Below are 25,022 nucleotides of genomic sequence, written 5' to 3' on the forward strand. Positions count from 1 at the left end.
ACAAGATGGATTAGTGGAGTAGAAACTGCTGGGAGTCCGGTGCCACTTGGTGGTCAGGAAAGGTGACTCCGAAGAGCCTGACATTTGAGACAAATCAGTGGTGAGAAGAGCTGCCAAGTAAAGCGCCACAAGAGGGATTAGGGGCAGAAGGAACAGCACGTTAGAGGGCCCTGAATGGAAGCCAGCTGGGTTTCATGGAGGAACTTAGTGAAGGACCCTGTGGTCATTGTGTAGGGTGGGAACGCTGACCCTAGTTATGACCCAGTCCAAGCTCCATTTTCATAAGTGGGGATGATAAGCACACTGAGGCCCACGTGTCTTGTCCACAGTCTCTTGATTCCCAATTCAGCACCCATGGTACCATTGCTGCCTATTTGACTTGAGAACTTAATTTTCTCCCTTTGTACAACTGGAAGTAAATAAAAGAGATTCATTCATTTTACACGAGAAAAATTGGTATTGGAATTGTTTGCGGACAAACACAAGAACCAAAAACATTAGCCTCAAGGTGAAGAGAGGAACCTTGGCGTCCACAATGACACCCAGTTTAGGGGTCCCCAGAGATGTTCGGTAAGACATGCTTCCAGAACCTTCCAGGTGAGGACCAATACTAATTCTGCAGTCTACATAAACTAAAAATGAAACTGGTCATAAGGTAGGCAGCCCCAGCTGACCTTTCACCTGTGCCTGAACTAATGCAAGTACAGGACCTGAGTGCTACAGGTTGAAGAAGTAAGTGATCCTAGGAGTTGAAGGGTCAGAGGAGCCAGGCTGACACAACTCATAGAAGGTGGAGGAAGCTGATCTTCTGAGCCTCAGCTGTGGTTGATCTTGATAACTCAAAGAGTTAACACAACCAAAACTAACGCAAGGGTGGAGAGAAAGACCACACCCCACGGGAGCGCGGAGCCAACTCGCGGGAGAAAAATCCTATTGGCATTGAGGAGGTAGGGAGCCAGCCCCTGGGCGCGGCCTGCAGGGTACCGGCAACCGCCCGGGTAAGCGGGGGCAGGACAAGGCCGGAGCCTGTGTCCGCCCGGCAGCCGCCCGCAGCTGCAGAGAGTCCCGCTGCGTCTCCGCCGCGTGCGCCCTCCTCGACCAGCAGACCCGCGCTGCGCTCCGCCGCTGACATGTGTGCCGCTCAGATGCCGCCCCTGGCGCACATCTTCCGAGGGACGTTCGTCCACTCCACCTGGACCTGCCCCATGGAGGTGCTGCGGGATCACCTCCTCGGCGTGAGCGACAGCGGCAAAGTAAGCAGGCGCGGGGTCGAGCGCACTCCGACGGGCGGGAGGATAGGTGCAAGGAACCTGGCGCGGTGCTTCGCGTAGCCCGGGGTTCGCTCGGTGCGCAGTGAGCGCCGCGGCTCCGGAGTTGAACTTGAGTCTTTGGCTCTTGGGCAACGCAGAGAGAACCCTGGCGCTAGGTTCGTGGGCTGGCTGGGGAGTTCCCAGAAGTCGGGAGCAGTGGCGTGCTAACGCCACAACTGGCTCGACAGCAGTCCGGGCTGCGGTAGAGCCGGGAGCAAGGATGTCACCCCCCGCTCCCCCGCCCCCCGTTCCAATCCTAAGATACCGGCAATAATCTTCAATCTTGCTTAAATCATCTTTGTTTCCAACACCTAGCACTGTGCCTGGCACAGGAGGCTCTCCATAAATGTGGTTGAATTTATTGTGAAAGAAATAAGAGGAGGGGGTCATTTGATTGATGTTGTTTAGCGTGTCCAGAACATAGAATAAATAGAACTGATTACATTCACCCTATCATTCAACAGAGATAATATACTAACGATGAAGGTTCCACAACTTGTAATACTAGAAGGGATGGTCCGAAAGAAATAATTCATCCATCTCTTTTCCTTCCTCTCTCTCTCTTATACACACACGCGTACACACACACACACACACGCACGCACACACACACACACACCATAGCCATTTGCATCAAAGCAAGCAGTTCCATTTTAAGGTTCAAAATGTCTTCTTTGAATGTATCTTTTACACTTCCTTTTCCAAAATCAGGATTTCTACAAATGACACAGGTAACTTGATGTCTACTATTTACTGTTCCATACACACATATAGTGACTATATCAGCCATGGCCTGGCAAGTTTGATAAGTGAAGCCATTCCATTTTTTAGAACAAAAAAATGATAAAATAAATATGGAGATGGGATTTTTTGAGCTGTTTTCCAACTACTGGTTTGGTTAGCAAAAGTACACATACTTGTGATTTGTCAAGTTGAAGATACTATTCTTGACTAAGATGCTACCGAGTCGGTGACAGTTTTGAATCGTGACTCTTACATTTGGGGGTAACTAAACACTGTTTTCTCATGGTGCTTTAAAAAATACTCTTTCTATGCACGTTCAGGGAGCCTGCTGTTGTGTTTCCAAGGTGATAAAACTCTCAGAGCTCTCCCAGGGAGATTCCGGTAAACCCTGAGACTGATGAACCCATGCTTGGGGACTTGGTCCTCAAGTTTCAGGGAACTCAGGTTTGGGGCAAGTCCCAGGAAGCAAAGGAACGGAGATTGCTAAACTGGTGTAAGATTAGAGGTGTTATTTTAATCACAAGAAGCTGTTCAACTCTTGGGTTTCTTTTTTAAAAATTAATTTCCCATATCCAGAATTGTAATTGGTAGGGTAACAGGCAACTGGTTTTACCAGTGGAGAGGAATAAGAAAAGGAAGTAATAAAAATACCTTTTCTGGTGCTTGTACAGAAGAAGAATAAAAGAGTTTCCCAAACACACAATTAGTAGTTGAGTCAGGGAGTCTATTCCTCACTAAAAATCATACTGAAGTTATAAATTTAGAAAACATGCCCTTCCCCCACAAGACAAAATGACTTAGGAATTGAATACAAAGGTGAGTTAGTCAGTGGCTGGAATGTATGGTACAGAGCTCCTGAACCAGTGGATTGCTAACTGTTGCTCTCCTCTCCTCCTAGGTGCAAGGCAGTTGATACCTGGCTGTGTTTAAAGAGAGAGCATGCCATACATATTTCAAAACTTGACATCCCCCATTTCAAAATGGAGAGTATCTTACTTTTAGAGTTGCTGGGATAAATATATTATTTATTTAAACATTTCAAGGTTCAAAAAAGAAAATAATACGCCTTTGGAATACAGAAATATGTTGAATTATTATGATCTGTAATTTTTTTTTTGGTTTTTTTTTGTTTGTTTTTTTTTGAGATGGAGTCTCGCTCTGTCACCCAGGCTGGAGTGTAGTGGCTTGATCTTGGCTCACTGCAAGCTCTGCCTCCCGGGTTCATGCCATTCTCCTGCCTCAGCCTCCCGAGTAGCTGGGACTACAGGCGCCACCACGCCCCACTGATTTTTTTGTATTTTAAGTAGAGTTGGGGTTTCAATGTGTTAACAGGATGGTCTTGATCTCCTGACCTCGTGATCCCCCTGCCTCGGCCTCCCAAAGTGCTGGGATTACAGGCGTGAGCCACCGCGCCGGCCAATGATCTGTAAATTTTTACTCCTAAATTTTTAGGAGCTCAAACCTTGCAATGAATCAGAAATATCTAGGGGTGCTTGATAATATGCTGATTTCTGGGCATCATCCTCAGAGACTCTGAATCTATAGACCTGGGGTAGGCCCCAGAAAGTGGCATTCCAACAAGCATCCCAGGAGATTCAGACGCAGGTAGCGGGTGGATTATAGCAGCGGGTGGATTACATTTTGAATAACTGTAACACATAGTTTCTGTGATGGGACAAGCTGTGTGAAGTATCAGGAGCTTATTTCTCCATTGCAAGTTTAGATCTGGGGTAGAATCTCAGCGAGAGGGCACAAAGCTTACTCTGTCCTTCTGGTCTCGCTTTTAAACTTTATTCCTTATTTTGTATAACTTCGTTTAGGCCCAGAGAATGCCAATGACTAACTGCTCTTAATACATTAAATTAAAGCTCATTCAAAAGCAGGTTAATTAAAAGAAATTATCTAGCCAACTTTTTGGTATAAAGCAAAATACAGAGTTATACTTTCTGCTCAAGTAGCATGTAGCTTTTAAGAATATAGACTCTAATGATTGCCATTCTAACTGGTGTGAGCTGATATCTCATTGTGGTTTTGATTTGCATTTCTCTGATGGCCAGTGATGATGAGCATTTTTTCATGTGTCTTTTGGCTACATAAATGTCTTCTTTTGAGAAGTGTCTGTTCATATCCTTTGCCCACTTTTTGATGGGGTTGTTTGTTTTTTTCTTGTAAATTTGTTTGAGTTCATTGTGGATTCTTGATATTAGCCCTTTGTCAGATGAGTAGGTTGTGAAAATTTTCTCCCATTTTGTAGGTTGCCTGTTCACTCTGATGGTAGTTTCTTTTGCTGTGCAGAAGCTCTTTAGTTTAATTAGATCCCATTTGTCAATTTTGGCTTTTGTTGCCATGGCTTTTGGTGTTTTAGACATGAAGTCCTTGCCCATGCCTATGTCCTGAATGGTAATGCCTAGGTTTTCTTCTAGGGTTTTTATGGTTTTAGGTCTAACGTTTAAGTCTTTAATCCATCTTGAATTAATTTTTGCATAAGGTGTAAGGAAGGGATCCAGTTTCAGCTTTCTACATATGGCTAGCCAGTTTTCCTAGCACCATTTATTAAATAGGGAATCCTTTCCCCATTGCTTGTTTTTCTCAGGTTTGTCAAAGATCAGATAGTTGTAGATAGGCGGCATTATTTCTGAGGGCTCTGTTCTGTTCCATTGATGTATATCTCTGTTTTGGTACCAGTACCATGCTGTTTTGGTTACTGTAGCCTTGTAGTATAGTTTGAAGTCAGGTAGCGTGATGCCTCCAGCTTTGTTCTTTTGGCTTAGGATTGACTTGGTGATGCGGGCTCTTTTTTGGTTCCATATGAACTTTAAAGTAGTTTTTTCCAATTCTGTGAAGAAAGTCATTGGTAGCTTGATGGGGAGAAATAGGAATACTTTTACACTGTTGGTGGGACTGTAAACTAGTTCAACCATTGTGGAAGTCAGTGTGGCGATTCCTCAGGGATCTAGAACTAGAAATACCATTTGACCCAGCCATCCCATTACTGGGTATATACCCAAAGGACTATAAATCATGCTGCTATAAAGACACATGCACACGTATGTTTATTGTGGCACTATTCACAATAGCAAAGACTTGGAACCAACCCAAATGTCCATCAATGATAGACTGGATTAAGAAAATGTGGCACATATACACCATGGAATACTATGCAGCCATAAAAAATGATGAGTTCATGTCCTTTGTAGGGACATGGATGAAATTGGAAACTGTCGCAAGGACAAAAAACCAAACACTGCATGTTCTCACTCATAGATGGAAATTGAACAATGAGAACACATGGACACAGGAAGGGGAACATCATACTCTGGGGACTGTTGTGGGGTGGGGGGAGGGGGGAGGGATAGCATTAGGAGATATACCTAATGCTAAATGACGAGTTAATGGGTGCAGCACACCAGCATGGCACATGTATACATATGTAACTAACCTGCACATTGTGCACATGTACCCTAAAACTTAAAGTATAATAAAAAAAAAATATAGACTCTAACATGTTTAATTCATTTGCAAATATTTAATCTTGAGGTAATGCATGCTCAAATATTACTAAGTTGCCTGATTCTTCCCACATACATCAGGGTCAGGTTGACAGTAAAGATGCATAAACATGCCTTGGGCCTTTTAATGCACACTTACCCAGAAACAAGAGTGAGGAAGAGATTCATTTTGAGGTTGTGTCCTGGGGTGGCAGGAGCAAGTCCAATGGAGGAATAGAGACTTGGGTTCAGGTCAGAGTCTCTACCACTTACCTGTGCTGAGACCACAGGTGAGACCTAACCTGCCTGAGCCTCCGTTTCCTCATTTGTAGAGTCAGATTTCCTTTTGCTATTTATTAAATGAGATAATGTATGAAAATGCCTGGCACTTAGTGGATACTTAACATGTACCATGTTCATTCTATTCCCTTTGCCTCCTAGCAAATCCTTAACCTCTTGCTCACTGTGATATTTTGCATGTTTTCACATGGTGACATGCCAAGTGGTAGAGAAGGAAGCCACGGCCTGTGATGAACTGTATGGGGTGGTCACAGAACCTTAGCTTTTTATTCTCACTGCTTATGTCATTGATCCCCTGGGACCCAAAGATGCACCCTGGAAGAAAGATCAAGAAGCATTTGGTGCTAGATTCACTAGCAAGCTATCTTTAGTATCTCTTTTAGACTTGACAATGTCATTATTTCCACTAACAGATGAGGAAGTTGAGACTTGAGAAGTCATGCATTCAGATACGGTGGTGGTGTAGCTGGATTTTGAATTAGTATGGGGCAAAGGCCATGTTCTCTTTACTGTCGCTGACTGCTTCTCTAGGGCACAGTCCTGGACCTCAAAGAATCTGCACTTTGGCACGGGAGCTAAGACTTGTAGCTGTAATAAAAGTGACTCATTCCTGAGCCAAACACTGGGGTTTTCACCGGAGATAAATTGATGAACAAAGTATGCAAATACTGCCCTGCCCTCTTGAAACTGATGATCTAGTAATAAATTAACAGAATCTGCCATGACCTATCAGAACTTGAACTAGTTAGGGGAAGGCTTTCCCTAGCGTGAAGTGACATCAAACTTGCGATGTGAACAATGAGAAGTTAAGTAGGTATATTAGTCAATTTTCACATTGGTGACAAAAACAACCTGAGACTGGGAAGAAAAAGAGGTTTAATTGGACTTACAGTTCCACATGACTGGGGAGCCTCAGAATCATGGCAGGAGGTGAAAGACACTTCTTACATGGCGGCAGCAAGAGAGAATGAGGAAGATGAAAAAGCGGAAACTCCTGATAAACCCATCAGATCTCGTGAGACTTATTCACTACCATGAGAACAGTATGGGGGAAACTGCCCCCATGATTCAAGTTATCGCCCACTGGGTTCCTCCCACAACATGTGGGAATTAGGGGAGTACAATTCAAGATGAGATTTGGATGGAGGCACATCCAAACCATACCAATAGGTAAGGTGGACAGCATTGGAAGTAAAGAAGAGCCTTCTAGGTTGAGAGAACTGCCTGTGACTGCCTGTGCAAAGGTCCTGGGGTAGGAAGGAATGAAACAGTCAAGGTAGTCAGAGTCCAAAGGTTGAGGAGAAGGCTAACACAGGATAAGGCAGGACAGGTAGGCAGGGCTATGTTATGGAGGGCATCGGGGATGGTGGGATTGTGTCATGATTATATTTTGTGGTTATAAAGGTCTAACTTCAGGATAAATGCATTGAAGAGAAGTTGAGTGCAGGCAAGGAGGTCAGATAGGAGCCTGTTGCAGTATTTAGGTAAAATGGAATGTGGTTTAGATGAGAGAGGCAGTGTAGTTATCAACTGAGATATGAACTCCTAAGAGTACCTCTATCACTTATTACCTATGTGAATTTGATCAAGTTCCTTACCATTTGTATCTCCAAATTTCTTTATGCATAAAATAATTACTATGGTCTACCTAATAGGGTTGTTGAAAGGATAAAATGGATTAGTAAGTGTAAAATATATAGAATAATGCCTGGCATGTAGTACATGTCCATTAGACTTCAGCGGTTATTGTCAGTAATGCAGATGGAGAGGTGGATAGAATCAGTAGCTATTTAGATCAAGTTGACTGGATTTGATGATAGCTTACATATGTAAGGTTGGAAGGTAAGTGCATCAAGAGTGATCGCAAAATGTATGTAAATGTGTGTAAATAGTACAGTGGGGCACAAGTTGACCAGTGATAGGAAAAGCTTCTTGAAGGAAGTAGTAGCTGAATTGGACCTTTTAGGACTGGAACATGCAAAAGAGGATTATATAGCCCTGGTGAAAAGAGTGACCCAATGTTCTTCAGTTCTGAAGACTGCTGGGAGGAGGAAGAGTTCTTTCTCACCTGAGGCTACTTTACCAGAAGTTCTCTCAGTCTAAATCACAAATCCTAGTGATTGTGTATCATCCTTTCCTCCACTTCCTGCCAAGCTCAGCAACTCAAAATATGCTGTTGGTCCTGAGAAAGGAAACTGGGCTAATCCCTTCCTTCTGAGGCTGCTGAATAGGAGCTTGGCTTTCATCAGAAAGATGCTTTCACTCCCAATTATTACAAGATCATCTTGCAAATTCCCATTTTCTAGAAGGCTGATTGCTTGTTCAGAATGCTCATGGCAAACACTGTTGGTTACCCACTCAGCAGTCATGACCTCTTTTTCCTTATTAACACCTGAATTTGATCAGTCCATGGTAGACTCAGCCTGTGGATACATCATGGTGTAAGCCAGTCATGGTAATCCTATCTCCATTTATCAGATACTTATTCTTCCAGCTTCCTGGTAGCTGAGGGTGACTAGTGATAATATTCTGACATACAGGAAGTTTGCTCAGAAGCTTCTAGGATGTGGGAAGAGAAGCCCTGCCTTTTTTGGATACTCTCATATGAAGAAAAGATACTTGGAACTGCTGCTGCCACCATGTGAGACTGTGAGGAAAAGGTTAAGGGGATTTCAGAGACACCATCCCATTTTCTAACATCACTGAGCAGTTGAACTACCCCTACCTGGAACTGTCTACTATCAGACTTCTAGACTTCCTTTTTTTTTTTTTTTTTTTTTTTTTTGAGATGGAGTTTCACTCTTGTTGCCTAGGCTGGGGTGCAGTGGCGCGATCTTAGCTCACTGCAACATCCGCCTCCTGGGTTCAAGCGATTCTCCTGCCTCAGCCTCCCGAGGAGGTGGGATTACGGGCACTCACCACCATGGCCAGCTAATTTTTTGTATTTTTAGTAGAGATGGGGTTTCGCCATGTTGGGCAGGCTGGTCTTGAACTCCTGACCTCAGGTGATCCACCCACCTTGGCCTCCCAAAGTGTTGGGATTACAGGCGTGAGCCACGGTAGCCAGCCCAGACTTCTTTTGTGAGATATGAAATGTCTTTATTGTCTAAATCTCTGTTAGTTGGGTACTGTTCATTGCAGCCCAATGCACCCTCATTACTACACTGCTTTTCAATGAACAATATTTTACACTTTACAAGAATAACTACCTTCTCCTTCTTCTCCTTACTGGCCTTTCCAGGCACCCATATCAATAGTCAAGCCCAGCCAATTTTCCTCTGGGATTTCTGTGTGCATATTCACTTCCATTGCCCCCATCTACCCTTTAGTGTCTCTGAGCTAAAATATAACAGGAGACCCTTAACTGTTTTCTCTCATTCTAGTATTTCCCCCACATTACTGAAAACTCTTTTCTTGGACCATGGGTAGTATCATGTATCTACTCTTCTATAACCATCTATGGCTCACTATTGCCTCTAAGTTTCAAATGTCCTGGAAGATGTTCTAGGCATGACATTATTTGGCCCCAACCTGTTCTCTAATTCTTTCTGTTGCTTCATTTATCTGTCTGGCAAGTGGGAATAGGATTACCATGACTGATTTACACCATATTGTATCCATGAGCCAAGGGATGTCTATCCATGCAAATTTCTCCCTGTTTTCCAGCACATCATGTCCTTTTATGCCTCCACATTGTTGGCACCAATTTCTTTGCCTGGAATAGTCCTCCTTTTTATATCCCCATTTCCATTTTACTTCTATCAAAATGAAATCTTGCTCTTCCTTTAAGGCCCAGCTCTGATCTTCTCTTTTTCACAAAGGCTTTCACAAAGGCTTTATTCCCAAGTTGAAATAAATTGCCCCTTCCTCTGTTCTTCCATAAAATTTTTCATATATTTCAAATCAGTATTTTACAGGTAGTTAAGAACATGGTTTCTAGAGTCAGATTATGTGAATTCAAATCAAAACTCTGCTACTTACTAGGACAAATTTTCTGACATAGCTGAACCTCAGCATCCTCATTTAAAAATGTGGATTAAGGCTGGGTACAGTGGCCCGCACCTGTAATCCTAGCACTTTGGGAGGCCGAGGTGGGCTCATCACGAGGTCAGGAGATCGAGACCATCCTGGCTAACATGGTGAAACTCCATCTCTACTAAAAATACAAAAAATTAGCTGGGTGTGGTGGCAGGCGCCTATAGTCCCAGCTACTCGGGAGGCTGAGGCAGGAGAATCCCTTGAACCCGGGAGGCAGAGCTTGCAGTGAGCTGAGATCATGCCACTGCACTCCAGCCTGGGCAACAAGAGCGAAACTCCGTCTCCAAAAAAAAAAAAAATGTGGATTAATAGCACCTTGATAGAGTTGTGAGGCAAGTGAGATAGTGTGTTGTTATTATTTTTCTTTCTCTGAAGTAGTTATTCCAATTTGCCTTTGATTATACTTAGCTTTATAGAATGTTCTCACTCACTGAAATGATTTAAAGTTTTTGGAAAAAGAGAGATGAACTGGAGAAAAGGTAACACTTACTAAGTCATACTGTATTTCAGACAGTCTGCCAAATCCCTTACAAATCAACAACCTTGAGACAAGGTAAGGACACCATCATCATCATCATCATCATCATCATCATCATCTCTACTTTACAAATGAGGAAACGGAGGCTCGGAGAGTTACTTGGCTGCAGTCACAGCAAATAAGTGGCAAAGGCAAGACTCAGAGCCATGCCTGTCTGATGTCCAAGGTCCGTGCTCTCCAGGAGTCTCTGCTGTCTTCTGTCATGGAGAGGGCCAAAACTCTATTGTCCTAAGGCCCCTTCAACATTTCATGTTGTTTTAGCACAAAGTAGGTGGTCAGTAAAGTGTGTTGAATGTGATGTGTAATACAAAAACGAGGCAGGCAGATCACAAGCTCAGGAGTTCAAGACCAGCCTGGCCAACATGGTGAAACCCCGTCTCTACTAAAAATACAAAAATTAGCCAGGCATGATGGCAGGTGCCTGTAATCCCAGCTACTCAGGAGGCTGAGGGGGAAGAACTGCTTGAAACCAGGAGGTGGAGGTTGCAGTGAGCCGAAATTGTGCCACTGCACTCCAGCCTGGGTGACAGAGTGAGACTCCGTCTCAAAAAAAGAAAAAGAGAAAAAAAAATGAGTGATAGAACAAACCTTTCTCAGCAAACCCCACCTTAAAACCCAACTGTGTCAATATGAGTTTATTTACAGCCCATTGATTCATGAATTAAAAAAAAATTGAAGGCCAAAGCAATCACAAGGTAATTATAATTTAAAGTGAGTTATTCTAAACTTACATATAATGATATAAGAATTTTAAAATTCCAAGATTCTCCAGAAGCTTAAATGGAAAAATAAAGTGCATCATAATCATACATTCCCCACCCTCACACATGCACACCCTTATACACTCATCAACAAAACACAGTTCTGGAAGAAGATATTAAAATAAAAACTTAAATAATTACTTTTGTAGATTGGGAATGGAGATTTGGAGCTATGGAGGATAATTTTTATTTTTGTATTGCTAGTTTTTAAAATTTTTGTCTTGCTTTTATAATTTAAAACCAATTTATTTTATTTTAAAATTTGTATTCTTTTTCTTAATTGCAGTAAAAAATGCATAACTTAAAATTCACCATTTTAAAGTATATGATTCAGTGGCATTTATTGTATTCAGAATATTGTACAACTACCACCACACTGACCATGATCTAGTTCAAGAATATATTCATCAGCCGGGCGCGGTGGCTCATGCCTATAATCCCAGCACTTTCGGAGGCCGAGGCGGGCGGATCATGAGGTCAGGAGATCGAGACCATCCTGGCCAACACGGTAAAACCCCGTCTCTACTAAAAACAAGAAAATATGAAAAAAAATTAGCTGGGCATGGTGGCGGGCGCCTGTAGTCCTAGCTACTCGGAAGCTGAGGCAGGAGAATGGCCGAAACCCGGGAGGCGGAGCTTGCAGTGAGCCGAGATAGCGCTACTGCACTCCAGCCTGGGCAACAGAACGAGACTCTGTCTCAAACAAAATAAAACAAAACAAATATATATATATATTCATCACCCCAAAGGGAAACTCATTGCCCATTAAGCAGTCACTCCTTATTTCCTCTCTTCACCTCTGCAACAATCACTAATCTGCTTTCTCTATCCACTTGCCTATTCTGGATATTTCGGATAGATGGACACATATAATACATAACCTTTTGTGTCTGGCTTTTTAGACTTAGCATAATGTTTTTAAAGCTCATCCATGTTGTGGCATGTGTCACAATTCATTCCTTTTTATGGCTGAATAATAGTCCATTGTGTAGATATACCACATTTTGTTTATCCTTTCATCAGTTGATGGACATTTGAGTTGTTTCTGCCCTTTGGCTATTTGTCAGCAGTGCTGCTATAAATATTTCATGCACATGTTTAAAAAAGCAGCTGGTTAAAAAAAATCTTTGTATGGTTTCCCATTGCCTAACCGTGTGATAAACCCAGGCCTGGCCTTGCTGACTGTTTGCCCAACCTTCCACGTTGTTAAATTCCTTTGTGTCTTTGTCCATGCTCCTTTTTCACCTTCCATTCGCTGGATGGATACACATTTCAAGACTAAATTTAGGTGTTACCTCCTCAATGAGGTCATTGCTGACATAGCTTCCTGCCTTCCTTCCACAGGCAGAGTGCAGTGGTACAATCTTGGCTCACTGCAATCTCCGCTTCCCAAGTTCAAGCAATTCTCCACCCGCCACCTCTCAAGTAGCTGGGACTACAGGTGTTTGCCACTAATTTTTTTTTTTTTTTTGTATTTTTAGTAGAGACAGGATTTCACCATGTTGGCCAGGCCAGTCTCAAACTCCTGACCTCAGGTGATCTGCCCACCTCGGCCTCCCAAAGTGCTGGGATTATAGGCGTGAGCCACCGCCCCGGCCTGTGTCCTACTTTCTACTCAGTGCCTCCTTACAACTCTTACTTGATCTCATGAGTCTCCCCAAAACCTGAGCTTGAAGGCAGGTTCACAACTTTATCACCTTTGTGTTGACAGCACTTAACACATGGTGGGCACTCTGATGAATATTTCTTCAATAACTGGTGCTTGGATTTTTTTCACCACAGGATAACCAGGTTATCTTCCAAATAACCAGTTGTTTGAATAAGAACTCTGGTTTTTTCTAATCTAGATGCCAATGTATGTGGTTACTGGGAGCTGTAATTAGTTTTATGTCCTGGTGAGTAATTAAGAACCCTAGAAGAGTACATTTTAATTAGAATTCTGAGACCTCATGAAGTTCTCAAAGGCCTTTAACTCTGACTATGTTAAGGACTTGCAATAATGTAGATTATAAAGGCCTGCTTGCTTCTTTTGGTTTTGTATTATGGTTTATTAAGTGTTTGCTTTTTCATAAGATGGTAATTTACTTGAAATGTTGCTTGTAAATGCCACTTACAATTTACAGTCCTGGAACATGGTAGACCCTCCATAAGCAATAGCTCTTGTTATCCATCGCCTATCCATCATAGTACTTTACACAGAGCTTTTGCACAAAATTAGCATTCAATGCATGCTTTTAAATGAAAGAATGAATAGAATGGGTATATGCTCTTCACAGAGTAGACAAGAAATAGTTAATCAACATTCTCAGATGGTTGTAGCCAATGTGCTTGAAGATGCAACACAAGAAGTAACATCGTTGGTGACTTCCACACACTGATGCAGAGTTTTTCTCCTGAGCTATTTAACCTATAAATTGTTTCCTTTCAGCCTGTGTAGAGTGGTCTCAGGTACCCTTTAACCCTTTTTGGAAATGCAAAACACAGAAGCCATTCCTGGTTCCTAGATGAGTGGGGACACTTGTGCCTCCTCACCTTCCTGCAGAGCGTGGACTCAATGGTCTGTGGTGCTACTATGCTTGGAGCTCATGAGAGCTGACAATAGCTGATGGAGAGCAAGGATCTCAAGGTCTTAGGGATAAAATGGTAAGCAAAAGAGATGCGGTTCCTGCCTTATTTGCACTCGGAGTCAATAATCAAATTAGTATGGATCAGTATACAGTTTCTAAAAGGAAAAAATGCAGAGTGCTCTGGAGATGCAAATCAGAGGACTTGGCTTATTTTGAGGAGATGCTTCAAGAATGTAACCCCAAAGAAGTCATGTTGGAGCTGAGTCTGAAGGTTAAATGGGAATTAACTAGGCAGAGAGAGGGAGGGGAAAGGCCTATGCAAAGACCCAGAGGGGAGGAGGAACCAGGAACCAGGTGGCAAAGAATGGAGGAGGAGGAGGTGGTGGAACTAGATGAGGGCAGAGAGAAACATAGTCATTCCCGTTAGCCCAAGAGCCATGGAAAGCCTACGAAGGGTGTCAGAGGAAGATAGGTCAGATTTACAATTTTTTTTTTTTTTTGAGACAGAATCTTGCTCTGTTGCCCAGGCTGGAGTGCGGTGGCGTGGTCTCGGCTTACTGCAAGCTCCGCCTCCCGGGTTCACGCCATTCTCCTGCCTCAGCCTCCCCAGTAGCTGGGACTACAGGCGCCCGCCACCACAACCAGCTAATTTTTTGTATTTTTAGTAGAGACAGGGTTTCACCGTGCTAGCCAGGATGGTCTCGATCTCCTGACCTCGTGATCCGCCCGCCTCGGCCTCCCAAAGTGCTGGGATTACAGGCGTGAGCCAATGCGCCCTGACATAGGTCAGATTTACTTCTAAAGAATATATTAAAAATAATTTCAGAGTAAGGAGCAGAATGGAGCAGAGCAAGACTTGCTGGAAGAGATGAGTTAGAAAATGACTGCAGTGGACCACAAAAGAGACAGGTAGATGGTGATAGACATGGAGAGAAACAGGGAGCTCTGTGAGATGAGAAGGAGGTAAATCAATGGGATTTGATGACAAAAATGGGTACAGAGGAAAGGGAAGAGCTTTCCTGGGTTTTAGGCTTGTACAACTGGATGGATATGGTGGCTGTCACTGAGTTTTTGAAGTCAAATAAAACATAGAGACAAATCTCTGAAATGAAAACATTTTATTTGGGAAGAAAAATTGCAATTTGGGGGGCATGCACACAGACCGACTGGCCTTCAGTATGTCCCATGAACAAAGAGAAAGAAGTTTTATAAAAAAGAGAAATGTTACATATTGCTCTTTGAGAAAGTTCATTGGCATTAGTAAGGTTTGAGGGAGCTGGCAAGTTTTGATTGGTAAGTGACAGTAACAGGTAAAATTATTCTTTTTTTTTTTTTTGGACTGAGTCTTGCTCTGTTGCTCAGGCTGGAGTGCAGTGGCACGATCTCGGCTCACTGCAAGCTCCACCTCCCGGGTTCACGCCATTCTCCTGCCTCAGCCTCCCCAGTAGCTGGGACTACAGGTGCCCGCCACCATGCCTGGCTAATTTTTTGTATTTTTGGTAGAGATGGGGTTTCACCGTATTAGCCAGGATGGTCTCCATCTCCTGACCTTGTGATCCACCTGTGTGGGCCTCCCAAAGTGCTGGGATTACAGGCGTGAGCCACCATGCCCGGCCAACTATTCTTAAAGTCACAGGAGATTGTTTCAGCAGCTGTTAGATAAAACTGTTTCAGGTGCAGGAGGCAGTTTCAGGTGCAGGAGGCAGTTTCAGCAGCCAGGCTTGCATAGAATTACGTTCTTGGAGCAATGTTTTGTTCCCTGAGTGCTTTTACTCCTGACCTCTCTGTTTTAGTTGGGTATGACAAGAATGACACATTTGTTGATTAACTTTCACATAGGGAAGAGAAGAAGAGGTCCAGCCAGGGAGGGTGGATCCAGAGGTCTGCTTTGGTCATGCTGAGTTGAGATGCTTTTGTGACATCTACATGGAGATTTGAAGCAGATGTTGACTTGCTGGTCTGGAGCTCAGAGGAGATATCTGAACGGGCGATATAAAATGTAGAGTAAAGGTTGAGAAGACAACAGGAACTAGACTAATTCCTCTTGTTGAGTTTAGAGTTAAAGAGAATGAGTAGGATGAGGACAATCCAAATATCAGAGGAAGACAACGGGAGGGTATTGTCATAGAAGGCAAGAGATGGGGATACTTCAAGATGGAGGGAGCAGTGCAGGTGTCATGTTACTGAGACATAAGAACAACACTGGAAAAATGTCCAGTGGATTTAGAAACCTCAGGCAACTGTTGACCCTAGGAAGCTTATTTCAGCACAGGGAGAGGGTGGCAATCAGCTTGGGTTAGGTTTTGGAATGATTGGAAGATAAGGACATGCAGACAGTAATCACAGACAACTCTTTTGAGATTAAAAAAATGTGTAGTGTTTTATCATATGAGAAAAATAATTGCTTCCAACAGCAATAAAATGTAAATAAGTTACATACCTGTTATTCCCACTGCTTAAGTTATCAGAGGACTTTTATACAAACATTTGCATTTGTAGCATTCTGAGGAAAAAATGCTCTGGCTGGGCCGGGCACAGTGGCTCACGCCTGTAATCCCAGCACTTTGGGAGGCTGAGTCAGGCAGATCATGAGGTCAGGAGATCGAGACCATCCTGGCTAACATGGTGAAACCCTGTCTCTACTAAAAATACAAAAAAAAAAAAATTAGCTGGGCGTGGTGGCGGGCGCCTGTAGTCCCAGCTACTTTGGAGGCTGAGGCAGGAGAATGGCGTGAAACCGGGAGGCGGAGCTTGCAGTGAGCCAAGATCCAGCCACTGCACTCCAGCCTGGGCTACAGAGCAAGACTCCATCTCAAAAAAAAAAAAAAAATGCTCTGGCTGTCCTCTGGTCTTCAAATACTTTGCTTAGGTTTCTGTGAATCTTTAAATTTCAGGTGACTTAAGTGCACATTCAATCTACTGAATCACAATTCACTTGTGCTCATATTCCTGTATTTGTATGATTTTTCCCAGCCTTCCTGTATTGTATGGTGAATAACTTCTTTCCAAGGACGTTTCAAAAGTTAAGAAAGCATGCTGCTGTTGCCCATTTACAAATATTTAATTTCAAAGGATGCCAAAGCATTGGCAAATATATGTGTCAGAGCTTAGAGTTAGTTGCAGCCTTCTTAATAATCATTTTACTATTTTATTTCAGAAATATAATCTAGCATTTCAGCGTCACTGGAAATCTTGGTAGGTAGTCAGTATTTTTGTTTGGAAGTACAGGATACCAGCAGTGAAACACTTCATTTTATTAACGTCAAGCAAGTAAGGCATTATTTTCCTATAAATGTGAGGTTGTTTGAAATGAAAACAAACAAAACCAGGTAAGACGATAGAAGCAGATGTTTTCTCTGTTTAAAAATGCGGTTGGTATGTGAGGTATGTGTAGGGAATGGCTAAAAAGAAAATAAAAATAAAATTTAAAATGCAATTTGGGTTGGGCATGGTGTCTGATGCCTGTAATCCCAGCACTGTGGGAGGCCGAGGTGGGCGGATCATCGGAGATCAGGAGTTCAAGACCAGCCTGGCCAACATGGTGAAACCCCGTCTCTACTAAAAATACAAAAATTAGCCGGGCATGATGGCAGGTGCCTGTAATCCCAGCTACTTGGGAGGCTGAGGGGGGAGAACTGCTCGAATCCGGGAGGTGGAGGTTGCAGTGAGCTGAGATCATGCCATTGCACTCCAGCCTGGGTGACAGAGCAAGACTCTGTCTCAAAAAAAAAAAAAACAACAAAAAATGCGGCTTGTTCCTAGTTAAGCATTTTAAGATTTCCCCCTTCCCCAAGGGAAGAGAGAAAATCTTACCCCTCCTTCTGTTCTTCCCTTCTGGGTGAATGACTGTACAATGAAGATTTAATCTAGTTGAGAAAAACAACACATAGGTGACTCACATACAACCTTTGTATGTATGAATGGAGGCTTGTATAATCATTTGTTTTTCACTGTCCTGACAATCAAGTGGGAATGAGAAAAATAAGATTTATGCTAGATTTATTTCAGTTGCAATTAGAAGGAAAACTATCCCTGTGATCTAGACAGGATTGGATGTTTCAAAAGTGCCAAATCATTGAGCAGATAGAGAAAGTGAGAAGACAATAAGGGAACAAGATTTGGAAAGGAAATGATTTAACAGTTACGCCAGTGTCCTCACTCATATGCAGGAGTTGAAAAAGTTGATCTTATGGAGATAGAAAGCAGAATGATAGATACCAGAGACTGGGAAGGATGTGTGGGTGGGGTGGGGGTGGGGGAATGAAGAGAGGTTAGTCAGTGGGTAGAAGGGCAGCTAGATAGAAGTTATCAACAACGTATTCTACATTTCAAAGTAGCTAGAAGACAGAACTTGAAATGTTCCCAACACATAGAAATAATAAATACTCAAGATGAGGGATCAAATACCCTGACTTGATCATTACATATTCTATGCATGTAACAAATATCACATGTACCCTATAAATATGTAATATATTATTTATAAGTAAAGAAACTTAAAAATGTAATTGTGCCAATATAAACTTATGTATCAATTTATATTTGTTCATGTCTTTTGACTTCTCCACCTTTTTGTTCACACTCTTAATGCCCTTACTCTCTTTTCTCGCCTATATTTACCATACTCATCATTTCCTCTAGAAACACCTTGGTTATTCTGTCCTCACCAATTTCCTTTTTCTCAGAGTTTTCATAGATCAGTCCATAATGCCAATTTGGTGCTTAGAAACATATCATTGTGCATTGTTCTCGATTTTTCATAGGCAGTAAATTTTATTTTCTCTACCAGAAACTAAATTCTTGACAGGCAAAGATGATTTTGAAACTGACCCAATAGTTCCATAGACAGGTTTTTGTTGTTGTTGTTGTTCTGTTTGTTTGTTTGTTTTTGGATAAACATAGAAATTGACGCTTTTGGTCTTAAAGCCTGAAACTTACATTTGTTTTATTTGAGTTCCTTGTTTAGGAAATGACCCCCAGGCCTCTCAAAAGTATCAAAGAACTGAAACTAACCAGATATTGCATCCAGACAATGAAATGCCAGGCCTCTCATTCATCATGATTGCTTCCTTAACCCCTCTGGAGTTCCTGTTTTCTCATACCTTTCTTCCCTGCTATATAAACCCCTCATTTTAGTCCATCAGGGAGATAGATTTGAGACTGATCTCCCATCTCCTTAGCTGCAGCACCTGATTAAAGCCTTCTTCCTTGCCAATAATCGTTGTCTCAGTGGTGTTTCGGTAACAACTTCTTATATATTTACCTGAACCCTTAGCAGTTTGATGAGCATACATTTAAGAAATAAAGGATTCCTTGAATTGTTATCAGTTGAAATGCTGCATTTCTGAACATGGCAAAAAGTGGTCTAAGAAGCATAGCTTAAGCAACTTTCTGTCCACCACTGGTTTTTCTGCGCCCAGCCTCTGCCTGCAATGTGTGATTGGCATACAGCCTCTCACAGGCCCTCAGAATGTACAGGTCTAACTTTCACAAATGAACCTGGAAGATAATTTGTAATTTTGTGGAGGTGTGTGTTCAAGAGCAGCACATTGGTGTGCTAATCAGTATCCCTTCACCAGCCAGTGAGCCTTGCTGCTCATCAGCATCAATACCTCAGTGTAATGTCTTGCCCTTATCATACATGCAGAAACTCTCAAGAAGTAGTTGAAAAACAATCAAAGCTTAGCATTTTAGTAAAATGTTACAGTGGTTTTGAGAAAATTGCTGACCAAAGGAAGATGTGCACCTATCAAAGTAGTAAATTTTTACTAGTGTTGCTGCTGCCATAGGCTATAAGCTCCCTGAGAGCAGGGATTAGGTCTTACTCACATCATTCCCTAGTGCTGGGGTACATCACCTGGGAGATAGAATGTGCTCAGCATATATTTGAGGAATGGCTAAATAAGGAAATGATTATTTCTAATAAAAGGAAAAGATTGGGCAGGGTGAGGTAGCTTGTGTCTGTAATCCCAGCAGATTGGGAGGCCAAAGCAGGAGGATCACTTGAGCCCAGGAGTTTGAGACCAGCCTGGGCAACACAGGGAGATCCCTCTGTACAAAACAAACAAAAAAACACGAGCTGGGCATAGTGGTGCGTGCCTGTGGTCCCAGCTACGCAGGAGGCTTAGGTAGAGTACAGCTTGAGCCCAGGAAGCTGCAGTGAATTGTGATTGCACCACTGCACTCCAAACTGGGCAACACACTGAGACTTTGTCTTTTTTTTTTTTTTTTTTTTTTGAGATAGAGTCTCGCTCTCTTGCTGAGGCTGGAGTGCAGTGATACGATCTCAGCTCACTGCAACCTCTTCCTTCCAGGTTCAAATGATTCTTGTGTCTCAACCACCCAAGTAGCTGGGATTACAGGCATGCACCACCATGCCCAGCTAATTTTTGTATTTTTAGTAGAGTTGGTTTTGCCATGTTGGCCAGGCTGGTCTCAGTCTCCTGGCTTTAAGTGATCTGCCCACCTTGGCCTCCCAAAGTGCTGATACCCTGTCTTCAAACAAACAAATGAAGAATGTATAGCACTTACTATGTGCCAGGCACTGCTCTAAATCTTTTACATATATTAACTCATTTAATCATTGCAACAACCCTATAAATTAACTATTCTTTATCTCTATTTTTCAGATGAGGAAACTGTGTCACCAACAGTTTGAGTGCCTTGTTGAAGGTCACATAGCTGGTTACTGGTAGAGTTATGATTTATAATCCACATGGTCTGACTTTACATTTAACAGCTCTCATATGGAATAAATTAAATGCTATACTGCTATTCAGATATGTGGGAAGACATGAAAGCCTCAAGATATAGTCACCAGCCTCTGTTACAAGCTTGTTGTTTGTTTTTGCTTTTGGCTTTTTGTCTTGCCACGGCAAACTCCTAAGGGATTCTGGTAATTTGTTAGCAAACTTTCTAAACCCTTCCAAGACTGCCAAATTGCTAATTCTTAAGCAGTTTTCATTGACACTATTACATTGTTTCATGTCAGGGCTTTAGAAGCAGGTGAAATAGATATTGGTTTTGGGAAGTGGGGGAAAGCTGACTAGTAATTGATGAATGGCTAGCATCTTTATACAGGAGAGGAATTTGCAAGGCAAGTAGGTGGGCTTGTTCTGAGTTTCTTTTGTTAGTTTCAGGAGTTAGGCTTGTTGAATTAAGTAAATAAAGCTCACAATGTGCTGATCATGTGAAACCTAATGCCAAGTCTATTTCTGAGCCACTGTGAAGAGGACATAGATAAACAAGGAGGGAGGAGTGTCAAGTCACACAAAATATTTCTTACTGGACTTGGATTTTATTTTTTAAATCTATTCTTTTGGAAATAGAGCCATGATCTAACTTAATGTGGCTACTCTGAATGCATGCTTTCTCCATGTCCACTCTAATTTCTTTGCAGGTTCGTATAAATTTTGTAAGTAGGCTTTGTAAATCAAACTGTGGACTAAATATCCTGGTGCGACTCTCAAATTGCTCTCTCAAATTGCAGGCACAAAGTCTTGGAAGTTCTGTTGGGCAGAAACAAACTGGACCAACATTTTGCGTTTCTGTTATCATCCAACTTCCTATATGCAGTCAATCTGATAACAAACAAGCTAATGAGCTCACACTAGAATTAGAAATTATAAAACATTTGGTTTTCCAGGGGAACTGGGAATGGTTTTGTAATTAATGTGTCAGAAGGAAAACTGAAGCAAAGAAGTTTTCAATTGCACCATATATGACAGACAAAAAATGAAATTAAATGCATCCTTCAGCTCTGAGGACAGATAATGGTCCTCTGTATCTAAGCGTCCAGGAGGAGGTGTTCTCTCTATTCCATACATCTGTGTCCCAGTGACCAAATGCAATGAAGAGAGACAACTTGTAAATTAAACAAACACAATGGGGCATAAAGATTTTTCCCCTTTAATATTACGGGATATGACAAAGAAGATCATTTTCTGGTTGCCGTAAAAATACAACAGTAAAGTTGAATTAGACCCGCAGATTTGATTAATGAATGCTGTGCTTATGAAAACACATAATTATTCCTGAGCTCTTGGAATGAACCAAGTGCGGTAGCTTCTGGGGCACTTGTGCATATTACTTTTAAAGATAGAATCCTGCTTGGCAAAAATGGCTCTCCCAGTTCTATATAAAAGATACAGCAAGAAGCAGTGAATGTATATATAGACAAAGAGAAAAATAAAGCTCATAGCTGTCTTCATACCAGTATAGATCTTTCTTAGCACATAACTAGATTTTTGTGGATTTTACAAGTTAAATAATGTGAAAAATATATTTGGGCACAAGCCGGGATCGCTGAGCTATATAAAAGGGATTCTATCACTCAGAGAGTTGTGTGATCATGGGCTAGTCAGTATCCTTTGTCAGTGGGCCTGTCTCCCTCATTCGTAAAATGGATATGGGGAGGCTTACTATTTCCTTACCAGCCATTTCAAATATATGTCTCCTGATAACCTTTGCATTTTAGAGCTCTTCTTTTGTTTTCCCATGAGCAAATCAGCAAGAGCTACAAGTTAGCAAACTTTTAAGGAGTGCTTGCTGTGTACCGGCCCATGATAGGTGATAGGGGCCACAAAGATGAAGGCGCCTTTTCTCTCTACCCATGAGATCCAGTGAGGCCAATGAATTACTATTATTGTTGTTGTTGTTGAGATAGGCCCTCGCTCTGTCACCTTGGCTGTAGTGCAGTGGCGCGATCATAGTTCACTGCAGCCTCAATCCCCTGGGGCACAAGTGATCCTCCCACCTCAGCCTCCCAAGTACCTGGGACTACAGGCGTGCACCACCATGCCTAGCTAATTTTTGTATATTTTTTAGTGACTGGGTTTTGCCACATTGCCCAGGCTGGTCTCAAACACCTGAGCTCTGGCAGTCCTCCCGCTTCAGCCTCCCAAAGTGCTGGGATTACAGGCGTGAGCCACCATCCACCGTGCTCTGGGTCATTTTTTTCAGCTCTCTTATAGTTCATATATACTTTCTCCGGCTATTGTATATTCCATCTGTTAATCTTGTCAAATCTATTGTATATTCCATCTGTTGACCTTGCTATAGCAACAACTATAATTTTAATTCCTTAAGTTCCACTTAGTTCTTTTTCAAATTTGCCTGATCATTTTTGATTGTCTCTTGTTGCTTATTCCATTTTATGATTCCATTCTTTATTTCTTTAAGCATACCATGTATATTTGTGTATACTTCGTATCAGATCATCTAGACTCCTTGAGATTCTAAATCTGGACTTTGTAGCTTCTGCTAGCCTTTACCTGGGATGGTTTGTTCCTTTTGATTTTGGTGACCTATTTTTTATGGGTTCAATTTTGGTTAATCTTAACCTGGGAAAATTTGGAGGCTGAAATTAAAGATGTGATCCTCCAGAAAACATTTTTTTTTTCCTGTTCAGAGATAGTGACCATTGGGGCCACCATGCATTTTGTGTGGGTTTATTGTTCACGGCTCCCATTTCAGCTTAGAATCTCTTTTTTTCTTCCTCTTTTTTCCCCTTTAACCTTCATATTCTCCCTTAGGTCCTGCAAAGTGCTACCTAAAAGGTCTTGTACATTATAATGTTATTTTATAACTTAAAGGCCCCTCAGGGTATCTTGCCCACCATATTTCTAAAAGTGAAATTGCTGATGTTATTGAATGCTTACCCTGTGCCAAGCATTCTTTTGAGCATTTTACTTGTGTTAGCTCATTTAACACTCACAACAACTTCATGAGGAAAAGTAACATTTTTTATTCTCATTTCACAGGTGAAGAAATTGAGGTGCAATGCGATTAAGTAACAGGTTGCCAATGTTACACAGCTGATACATGCTACATGAGTTGATAATGTTACACGGCAAATAGAGCTGGGATTGTAAGAAACACCTAAAAAATTTATGCACATGATAGGAAATTCAAAGTGTACAAAAGGCTATATAGTGAATAGTAAGTCCTTTTCTGTTCCTGTGCCCTAGACATGCCATTGCCCCTCCCAGGAGGCAATTATTACCAGTTTCTTACGTATTTTTCTAGGGGTTGTGTACAAAACATACAATCTAATATATATATATATATAATAGTATATCATATTTATTATACATTATGTGTCTGATTTTGCTAGAAAAATAGAAATAACAAAAAGTAACATTTCTTGAATACTTACTCTATGCTTGTTACTTTTCATTCATTATCTCATTTGTTCTTCTGAGGAATTATTAGTTTTACTTTGTAAGTGAGAAATTGAGTATTACAAAAGTTAAGTAACTTGCCCAAGAATTTGCAGATAGTAAGAAGCAGAGCTAGGATTCAAACCTAGGTCTTCGTGGTTCTTGGGCCTGCACACTTTGGCTTTTCACAGGGAGCTGACTAGGGGTTGACATCTTTAACTCCTCTGTAGTGGATTAGGACAAGAGTTAGAGTAAAGGCTGGGGTTTAGGGTTTGCGCTAGGACCTCCTCTCTAACCCCTACACCATACCTGGATGTGGCCTGTGCAAGTGTGTTTTAGGATTGCTGCTTCCTGGGGAATGAGATGGAGAACACAAAACTCAACCTTGCCCATCTTCTCTGCATCTATATTTGTTAGTTTCATATGTTTAAGGATAGGCTTTTGTTAACCAATTACTCTATTTTGAAACTCCCTCTTCTCTTTTCTTCTTTTTCTAATTTCTTCCTTCCTTCCAACCCTCCTGTAAACATTTATTTGAGTGCCTTTATATGTCTAGCATTCTGTTTGGTGCTGGAAATACCAAGATACAAGAACATAACTGTCTTTTGAGAAGGTTGTACTTTAGTGGGGAGACAAATACCCTAACTGCAAATTATAACACAGTGAGTTAAGTGTTTGTACTTTCCTATGGCTGCCATAACAAATTATTACAAACTTGGTGGCTTAAGCAACACACGCAGATTCTCTCACATTTCTAGAAATCAGAAATTTGAAATCTGTTTCACTGGTCCAAAATCAAGGTGTCAACAGGGCTACAGTCTCCTGGAAGCTCTAGAGGGGAATCTCTAGATTCTCCTTTGCTTTTCCAGTTTCTAGAGCCACATTCCTTTTATGCTGAGTTCCAGGAACTTCCCTCCATCTCCAAAGCCATGAATGCAGCATCTTGCGTAAGTGATCACATTGCCTTCTTCTGGTGAAATACTGCTCTGACTTCCCCTTCTTTTTTTTTTTTTTTTAGATGGAGTCTCGCTGTTGCCCAGCCTGGGGTGCAATGGTGCGATCTCAGCTCACTGCAGCCTCTGCCTCCTGGGTTCAAGTGATTCTCCAGCTTCAGCC

The 25,022-nt window shown here is 41.9% G+C and overlaps 1 protein-coding gene across 36 annotated transcripts in view, besides 2 other annotated features; it reads left to right on the forward strand.

Annotated features, from left to right (window-relative positions):
• The window catches only part of GDA (guanine deaminase), a 145,262-nt gene that overhangs the window by 33,822 nt on the left and 86,418 nt on the right, over positions 1-25,022 (forward strand). For 30 of the 36 annotated variants that reach the window (XR_001746423.3, XR_007061376.1, XR_007061377.1 and 27 more), the window contains exon 1: positions 1,011-1,253. The exons of 4 other annotated variants lie outside the window; for them this stretch is intronic. Coding sequence is in view for 21 of the 32 variants with exons in the window: in XM_047424099.1 (XP_047280055.1) it covers positions 1,131-1,253 (123 nt within the window). In the remaining 11 variants the exon portion in view is untranslated. Of the gene's footprint in view, positions 1-1,010; positions 1,254-10,390; positions 10,585-13,607; positions 13,823-25,022 lie in introns of those variants that run through there. 2 more of the 36 variants (XM_047424102.1, XM_011519218.3) reach the window with 2 other exon arrangements.
• Positions 710-1,211: an enhancer, noted in NCBI's record as "H3K4me1 hESC enhancer chr9:74764055-74764556 (GRCh37/hg19 assembly coordinates)". NCBI's record gives its function as "activates a minimal SCP1, AML or CMV promoter by ChIP-STARR-seq in naive H9 embryonic stem cells {active_cell/tissue: H9 hESC(naive)}" and the evidence as "EXISTENCE:reporter gene assay evidence [ECO:0000049][PMID:30033119]".
• Positions 1,212-1,711: an enhancer, noted in NCBI's record as "H3K4me1 hESC enhancer chr9:74764557-74765056 (GRCh37/hg19 assembly coordinates)". NCBI's record gives its function as "activates a minimal SCP1, AML or CMV promoter by ChIP-STARR-seq in naive H9 embryonic stem cells {active_cell/tissue: H9 hESC(naive)}" and the evidence as "EXISTENCE:reporter gene assay evidence [ECO:0000049][PMID:30033119]".

Source organism: Homo sapiens, chromosome 9 (assembly GCF_000001405.40).
Source record: "Homo sapiens chromosome 9, GRCh38.p14 Primary Assembly".
NCBI lineage: Eukaryota > Metazoa > Chordata > Mammalia > Primates > Hominidae > Homo > Homo sapiens.